This window comes from Homo sapiens, chromosome 16 (genome assembly GCF_000001405.40).
Source record: "Homo sapiens chromosome 16, GRCh38.p14 Primary Assembly".
Taxonomy (NCBI): domain Eukaryota; kingdom Metazoa; phylum Chordata; class Mammalia; order Primates; family Hominidae; genus Homo; species Homo sapiens.
The window spans coordinates 89,996,925-90,004,870 of NC_000016.10; the positions used below are offsets into that span (position 1 = coordinate 89,996,925).

A 7,946-nucleotide genomic window follows, 5' to 3' on the forward strand; every position below is an offset into this window, starting at 1 on the left:
GTTTGCAGCTCTGGGCCTGGCAGGCTCACCCCCTGGCCCCAGTTTCAATTCTGCATGCAGGCCGGGCGCAGTGGCTCACACCTGTAATCCTGGCACTTTGGGAGGCCGAGGCGGGTGGATCACTTGAGTTCAGGAGTTTGAGACCAGCCTGGCCACCATGGCGAAACCCTATCTTGATTTTTAAATACAAAAATTAGCCGGGCATGGTGGCACACACCTGTAGTCCCAGCTACTCAGGAGGCTGAGGCAGGAGAACCTCATGGACCCGGGAGGCAGAGGTTGCAGTGAGCCAGGATCGTGCCACTGCACTCCAATCTGGGCGACAGAGCAAGACTCCGTCTCAAAAAAAAAAAAAATCAATTCTGCCTGCAGGAACCAATTTTCTAAACCAACATATGGGACTTGGGATTTTCCAATAGCTTTCATGCCCCTTCTGGGAGCAACATTTAGAAATTGAAAGAGATGGGCCTTCCAGGCCGTCAGAGGCCCAAGGAGGCATATTAGAACCAGGTTTGAATGCCTCCTGTGGAGGGCAAAGGAGCCTTCTTCCCTGAAGGTAATGGATGAGATTTCCTGGGAAAAGCCTCCTGGAAGCTGTAGGGACCTTCCCGGGCCTCCTCAGGACAGTACTGTTGTGAAAGGAGTGAACAAAGTGAATTTCCTTTTTTCCTTTTTTTTTTTTTGAGACGGAGTTTCGCTCTTGTTGCCCAGGCTGGAGTACAGCAGCGTGATCTCGGCTCACTGCAACCTCTGCCTCCTGGGTTCAAGCGATTCTCCTGCCTCCTCATCCTGAGTAGCTGGGATTACGGTCACGTAGCACCACACCTGGCTAATTTTTGTATTGTTAGTAGAGATGGGGTTTCGCCATTTTGGTCAGGCTGGTCTCGAACTCCTGACCTCAGGTGATCTGCCCACCTCGGCCTCCCAAAGTGTTGGGATTACAGGTGCGAGCCACTGTGCCCAGCCTTACAGTGCATTTGCTTTAGCTTGGTGGGGAGCAGTATCCGTCTCTGTCTTCAGCTCAGCAGACTGTAGAGTGGGCTGGATCACACAGCCTCCTGCAGCTTAGGGAACTGGAGTCAGCTGTGAGGAAGGGTCTCCTGGGGCTGCCAGACCAGGCAATGCCAACACGGTCTTGCTTGGCCTGGCTCTCCCTGGTGCTGTTCTGAGGGTGGAGAATAGGGAGGTGGCCAGTAGCCATCCTTCATGGTCCACCCTAAGCTGTGAGAGCTGACGTTGGTCAGGTGGAAGAGCATTCTAGCTGCTGCTGCTTTATTTAACCATTTATCGAAGTATAATGTATACATAAAGTACTTATGATATCGAGTATCCCAAAGCAAACACCAAAGGTGCTTTTTTTTTTTTTTTTTTGTCTGAAATGAAGTGATGGAGTCTCGCTCTGTCTCCCATGCTGGAGTGCAGTGGTGCAGTCTTGGCTCACTGCAAGCTCCGCCTCCTGGGTTCAAGCGATTCTCTTGCCTCAGCCTCCCAAGTAGCTGGGACTACAGGTGTGCACCACCACGTCCAGCTAGTTTTTTGTATTTTTAGTAGAGATGGGGTTTCACCATGTTAGCCAGGATGGTCTCGAACTCCTGACCTCGTGATCTGCCTGCCTTGGCCTCCCAAAGTGTTGGGATTGCAGGTGTGAGCCACTGCTCCCAGCCCAAAGCTACTTATTTTTATTTAACTTGAAAAAATTTTAAAAAATTTTATAGAGGTGGGGTCTTGCTATGTAGCCCAGGCTGGTCTCAATCTCCTGAGTTCAAGTGATTCTCCTACCTTGGCCTCCAAAGTTCTAGGATTCCAGGTGTGGTCACTGTGTCCTGCCACCAGAGCCTCCTGAGGGCTGTCCTGGTGTGATTAGAGGGCTCTGAGCAGGGCCAGCTGTGCCATCTGTGCTTTTCCTTTGTCCTGTTACCTACCCTTGCACTGGGCCGTTAGGGCACTGAGATCATCCCTCTCCATCCTGTCATGCTGTGCTGTCATCTTTAGTCAAGCCAGAGGATATGGTGCTTCGCTGTGTTTCACACACAGCTGTTCCCATTGGCTTCAAATGGGCCTGTTTAGTTAAGGCTTTGTGTGAAGTATGTGGGAAGTGGGTTTCACTTTCAAGAAGGCAGCATGGAGCTGGGGCTTGGCCTCTGCTGTCTGGTATAGAGGAGCCTGGGGATCAGGTGTAGCTGCAGACACAGCTGGGCGCAGAGGGAGTGGCCTCATTTCCCAGCCACCTACTCCTGCCGTGCCTCACTCGCCGGGGAATGTGATGTGTAGGTCTTGAGAAGAAGGCCCAGGTCCTGCAGCCCGGTGAAAAGACAACTGTGGCCTACCACGAGGCCGGACACGTGGTGGTAGGCTGGTTCTTGGAGCACGTGGACCCCCTGCTGAAGGTTGGTCCTCCCACCCTGAGTGAGTCCACCTGGCAGGCTTGGGCCTGGTATCTCTGGGCCAACCTGTGGTCATGTGGGCATGGTACATTCAAGGATTGGCCCTTTAGCTTTTTAAGGAATAAACTGCTCTAGAATTTGTCAAAAGATCCCTTCGGGGTGGGAAAGCAGGGCAGTGGGTTCCAAATGGGGCCTTGGCCATGCGACTCCAGGGAGCAGCCTCAGTGTTAAACCCGCCTGACTCCTGAGCTCTGGATTCGACCGTTGGCCTCTCCAGAGACTCTGCAGGGTGGGCAGAGCGTAGGTGGTTTCCACGTGAAGCTCCCAAAGGCGGGTGCACTTCTTGGGGCATCCCCATGGTGTATGGGGGGCCTGGGTCAGGCTGTCTTCTCTCCTGTTCCAGTAGAAGGACCTGTGGTCAGAGCTAGGGTCAGGTGGCCTGGCCGCTCCAGGGTGGCTCCTGGAGGAAGTGGGGACAGTGTTTGGGGTGATGAGGGCATGTGTCCTGTCCTCAGGTGTCCATCATACCCCAGGGCAAGGGGCTCCGCTACGCACAGTACCTGCCCCGGGAGCAGCAGCTCTACACCCAGGAGCAGCTCTTCGACCGCACGTGCATGATGCTCGGGGGCCGGGTAGCCGAGCAGCTGTGCTCCGGGTAGATCACTATGGGGGCTCAGGACGACCTGAGGAAGGTCACCCAGAGTGCCTACGCCCAGGTAAGGGTGGGCATCCCCCGGCACGGGCCGCAGGAGGCTCTGTTGGGCGCAGGCTCATCCTGGGTTCCGCACTGGCAGGTTGTGCAGTTTGGGGTGAGTGAGAAGCTGGGCCAGGTGTCCTTCGACTTTTCCCGACACGGCAAGACCCTGGTGGAGAAGCTGTACGGCGAGGCAAGCGCCCAGCTCCTTGATGACGAGGTCCGGCACCTCGTCAGTGCCACCTACAGGTGCACCCTGGACCTGCTGACACGGTGCCGGGAGCATGTGGAGAAGGTGAGTGTGGCCTCTGCCCAGACAGGTCGTGGGTCCCATGTTGAGTCACGGTCATGCCACACCCGAAGGCCACACCCGTCCTTCAGCTTGCTTAGGTTTGGGCTGTGATCATGTCCTCAGAGCCGTCTGACAGGTGGGCCGTTGTTTCCAGGTGGGCCAGCGGCTCCTGGAGAAGGAAGTACTGGAGAAGGCAGACATGGTGGAGCTGCTGGGCCCCCGGCCCTTCTCGGAGAAGTCTACCTATGAGGAGTTTGTAGAGGGCGTGGGCAGCCTGGAGGAGGACACATCCCTTCCCGAGGGGCTGAAGGGTTGGAACCGCGGACAGGAGGAGGAAGATGTGGAGAGCAGCCTGTGCAGGGGGCTCTGTGTAGCCTGTGGCGGTCGCCTGCACCTGCTGCTGGGTGGAGTTGGGGTGACTGCCACTTACCTGGGGCCTTGGCAAAGCAGCTGCGGAATCTCACCCAAAACAAATTAAAACGTGACAACTGTGAATGGGTGTTTTAGATGAGGGTGCTCTGAGCCCACATGCAGGGAGTAGGAGTGGGAGTGGGCAGAGGGGGTACCCTGAGTCCCTGGGCCCTCCCGCTGGAGGACAGTCGGGTCCAGGCTTAGACGGGAGAGGCCCCAGGGCTCTGGCCCCTGTGGTGCTGAGGAAGGCACGACTGTAGCTTCGAGAGGGGCTTGCGTGGGACACCTTGGAGACACCAGGCCTTCCTGGGGCCTCCGTGGAGGAGCGTTGATATGGTCATAAAGACACTCGGAGGAGCCTGGGTCCAGCACAGAAACCCTCACCGTTTGGTAGAATTCAGAAGAGGAGAACGTCAGCCAGGCATCAAGGGGAAGTCAGGGTTCTAAAGCAGCTGTTTGGATCGGTAGAAGCCGATCTGCTGTTCTGTCCTTAGAAAGGAAAAAGCCCACACCACCCACAGGTGCATGGCTGAGGGAGGAGGTGGAGCTGTGGGGCCTCACACCTGGGTTCCCCATCAGGGCACCCCCCGCCACCCCTGCCTGCGCCTTGGCTCTGTGGCAGCACTGCTGAGTGTGAGGGAATTGAGTTGCTTAGAAAACCTGGCCCCTGTCCTTGGCTGGAGGTGCTTTCACTGCGGGATGTGTCTGGATCGTCAGTTCTGTTCCTGTGACCCCTTTTTGTTGGAGTCTTGGAGCGGGAAGCTCTGCAGGGCCCCAGCCGGCTCAGGGGTGTTTGTGGAGAGACTGTGGTCCTGAAGCCCCAGCACGTGGCTGCCCCTGGCCCTGGTACCTGTTCGTGAACACTTTTCCTGGGGTTGGGTAGCTCCTAATTTTTATTAGGAAGGCCCCTTCTGGGCTCTGAGCTTCAGGCCCTTTGGCGCCTTGTACTGAGGGAGGGTTTGCTTTTTCTTGTCTGGGGTGTGTGGGACTCGATGAGGATGCCCCGTGTGCTTTCTGCAGCACACGACCTGCCTCCAGGACTCGCTGGGGTCAGCAACAGCAGGGCAGTGTCAGCCTCAACCACTGCCTTGGGGTGGGTGGATGCGTGTCTAGGTCACCTGGGATGAGACCTGGGGAAGACGCCCATTTGCATATGTCCTGGGTGAGCGGCCGGAGGAGGAGGCCCTGCTTGTGGGTCAGCTGGGATGGGACCTGGGAAGATGCCCGTTTGCAGATGTCCTGGGTGAACAGCGGGAGGAGGAGGCCCTGCTTGCTGCCCCGGGCACTGTTTGTTCTCAGCCTCTCTCTCGACCTAGGCCAGATCAGACACTGGGGCTTTGTAGTATATTTTATAAATCGCTTGTTATGTTGGCCTCGGAGCCTCAAAAATATAATTTCCAACTGGGGGTGAACACTTTCAACTTTTGCTGTTTATAAAATGCATATCATTGGACTCAAAAACTCTCCAGCACTCAACCTTCATCATGGCCTCCACCAGACCCAGAGTAGCTGAGCCCCTTGGGGTCCGGTTGGGGCCTGGTCTTAGGTCCCTCAGATGGAGGTGGGGGTGCTTCCTCAACCCCAGCAGGCCCTGTGACATGGCAGCATCGGTGGCCTCCGGGATGCAGGGTGGTCACGGGCTGTGGAAAGTCATGGCCCTCGCTCCACCGTGGTTCCCTCCAACACCCCGGGAGAGCCTGGGTGTCCCTCTTGTCACCTCCCAGACGGCTGCACGTGCCTGGGGTCCTTCATGATGATCTGGGCGTGGGATCCTTGTGCCTCCCCCACTGGGCTGTTCCCTCCAGACCTGTGTTCTCGGCGCCTGCCTTCACCCTCAACTTTTCAGGGCTGTCAGGCGCCTTTCCCGCAGCCTTCCCGCACGTATCCTTTACAAGCCGGTCCTTATGTAACTCTGGAGCCATCTCACCCCCTGAATCAGACACACTATTTTCCGTGGTCTTTTCCCAGCTGTCCTGAGCATGACCTGCAGTTTGCCTCATCAGCCTGTCGATGGTGGCTCAGCTGCACCTTTGCTGAGAAGCACCATCGGCCCAGCAGAGTGACACCTGCGGGCACTGCTGTCTGTGCTGTAGCGGTCTGTGCACCCTGCAGGGACACGAGCCTTCAGCCCCTGTATTTCTCAGCCTGCCTGCCTCCCTCCCTCTGCCAGAAGGGAAGGTGGAATGGGGTGGAATGCGTGTACCTGCCAGTAGCTGTGCACCCTTCCCAGAAGATACATCACTGACTGAGGCCGTTTCTGGGTCCATGGTCATAGGACACCTTGCTGAGAATTTTCATGTAGGGGAGGTCCAGGCTTCTCCCCTCAGAGCCCAGCACGGAAACACACAGAGACCCGTGGGCCTGGCAGAAGGCATGTCAGCCCTGGTCAGGCTCCATGGCCACCCCATTTCATGAGTAATGACAGTGGGCAGGAGTTTTGGCCTCATCTGGTACCTCCCCAGGACCAGTGCCAGTGGCCTCTGGGACAGGAGTGTGTTGAGAGCGACTCCGTTGCTGGGGAGTGAATCCCTCCCCTGGCCTGGGCCACCTTTACCACCACGTGGGGTGGGATTCTGTGACTCCCTCCCCCGGCCTGGGCTACCTTTACATGCACGTGGGGTGGGACTTCTGTGACTCCCTCCCCTGGCCCGGGCCACCTTTACGTGCACGTGGGGTGGGACTTCTATGACTCCTTCCCCCGGCCCGGGCTACCTTTACATGCACGTGCGGTGGGACTTCTGTGATTCCCTCCCCCGGCCCGGGCTACCTTTATATGCACGTGGGGTGGGACTTCTATGACTCCCTCCCCCGGCCCGGGCTACCTTTACATGCACGTGCGGTGGGACTTCTGTGATTCCCTCCCCCGGCCCGGGCTACCTTTATATGCACGTGGGGTGGGACTTCTGTGACTCCCTCCCCTGGCCCGGGCTACCTTTACGTGCACGTGGGGCGGGACTTCTATGACTCCCTCCCCCGGCCCGGGCCACCTTTACGTGCACGTGGGGCGGGACTTCTGTGACTCCCTCCCCTGGCCCGGGCCACCTTTACGTGCACGTGGGGCGGGACTTCTGTGACTCCCTCCCCTGGCCCGGGCCACCTTTACGTGCACGTGGGGCGGGACTTCTGTGACTCCCTCCCCCGGCCCGGGCCACCTTTACGTGCACGTGGGGCGGGACTTCTGTGATTCCCTCCCCCGGCCCGGGCCACCTTTACGTGCACGTGGGGCGGGACTTCTGTGACTCCCTCCCCCGGCCCGGGCCACCTTTACGTGCACGTGGGGCGGGACTTCTGTGACTCCCTCCCCTGGCCCGGGCCACCTTTACGTGCACGTGGGGCGGGACTTCTTTGACTCCCTCCCCCGGCCCGGGCCACCTTTACGTGCACGTGGGGCGGGACTTCTGTGACTCCCTCCCCTGGCCCGGGCCACCTTTACGTGCACGTGGGGCGGGACTTCTGTGACTCCCTCCCCTGGCCCGGGCCACCTTTACGTGCACGTGGGGTGGGACTTCTGTGACTCCCTCCCCTGGCCCGGGCCACCTTTACGTGCACGTGGGGTGGGACTTCTGTGACTCCCTCCCCTGGCCCGGGCCACCTTTACGTGCACGTGGGGCGGGACTTCTGTGACTCCCTCCCCTGGCCCGGGCCACCTTTACGTGCACGTGGGGCGGGACTTCTGTGACTCCCTCCCCTGGCCCGGGCCACCTTTACGTGCACGTGGGGCGGGACTTCTGTGACTCCCTCCCCTGGCCCGGGCTACCTTTACGTGCACGTGGGGTGGGACTTCTGTAACTCCCTCCCCTGGCCCAGGCCACCTTTACGTGCAACGTGGGGCGGGACTTCTGTGACTCCCTCCCCCAGCCTGGGCTACCTTTACATGCACGTGGGGTGGGACTTCTGTGACTCCCTCCCCCAGCCTGGGCTACCTTTACGTGCACGTGGGGCGGGACTTTCACTTCTTTAATGATTCCTTCTGTTGTGTGACTTTGGGACTGGAAATCCAGGTCACTCATCCCCCACATGTGACCCAAGTGAGCACAGCAGAGCCCTCAGGCTGCTGCAGCTGGAGAATGGTCCGGGCACGGAGCCCAGGGCAGCTCAGCTCACAACCCCTCAGCAGGCACCTCGTTCACTCTGCTATTGGAAAGGAAGAGACTGTGGCCAGGCC

At 58.6% G+C, this 7,946-nt stretch overlaps 1 pseudogene across 1 annotated transcript in view, besides 4 other annotated features; it reads left to right on the top strand.

Annotated features, from left to right (window-relative positions):
• Positions 1-3,863, top strand: part of AFG3L1P (AFG3 like matrix AAA peptidase subunit 1, pseudogene) — a 28,208-nt pseudogene extending 24,345 nt beyond the window's left edge. The window contains exons 11-13 of the transcript NR_003228.1: positions 2,900-3,100; positions 3,179-3,373; positions 3,525-3,863. The product of NR_003228.1 is annotated as an AFG3 like matrix AAA peptidase subunit 1, pseudogene, transcript variant 3 (transcript). The remainder of the gene's footprint in view (positions 1-2,899; positions 3,101-3,178; positions 3,374-3,524) is intronic.
• Positions 484-653: an enhancer, noted in NCBI's record as "experimental_46884 CRE fragment used in MPRA reporter constructs". NCBI's record gives its function as "activates a minimal promoter by MPRAs in K562 erythroleukemia cells, with activity observed for the non-introgressed 16:90063901 variant allele {active_cell/tissue: K562}" and the evidence as "EXISTENCE:reporter gene assay evidence [ECO:0000049][PMID:34662402]".
• Positions 2,524-2,693: an enhancer, noted in NCBI's record as "experimental_46891 CRE fragment used in MPRA reporter constructs". NCBI's record gives its function as "activates a minimal promoter by MPRAs in K562 erythroleukemia cells, with activity observed for the introgressed 16:90065941 or rs62054572 variant allele {active_cell/tissue: K562}" and the evidence as "EXISTENCE:reporter gene assay evidence [ECO:0000049][PMID:34662402]".
• Position 2,609: a transcriptional cis regulatory region, noted in NCBI's record as "Neanderthal adaptively introgressed variant 16:90065941 (GRCh37/hg19 assembly coordinates) or rs62054572 in the experimental_46891 CRE". NCBI's record gives its function as "modulates activity of the experimental_46891 enhancer by MPRAs in K562 erythroleukemia cells {active_cell/tissue: K562}" and the evidence as "EXISTENCE:reporter gene assay evidence [ECO:0000049][PMID:34662402]".
• Positions 3,417-3,567: a silencer, noted in NCBI's record as "fragment chr16:90066749-90066899 (GRCh37/hg19 assembly coordinates)". NCBI's record gives its function as "represses an EF-1alpha promoter that drives an FKBP-Casp9 reporter gene in an ReSE screen in HepG2 liver carcinoma cells {active_cell/tissue: HepG2}" and the evidence as "EXISTENCE:reporter gene assay evidence [ECO:0000049][PMID:32094911]".
• Positions 3,864-7,946: the final 4,083 nt, after the last annotated feature.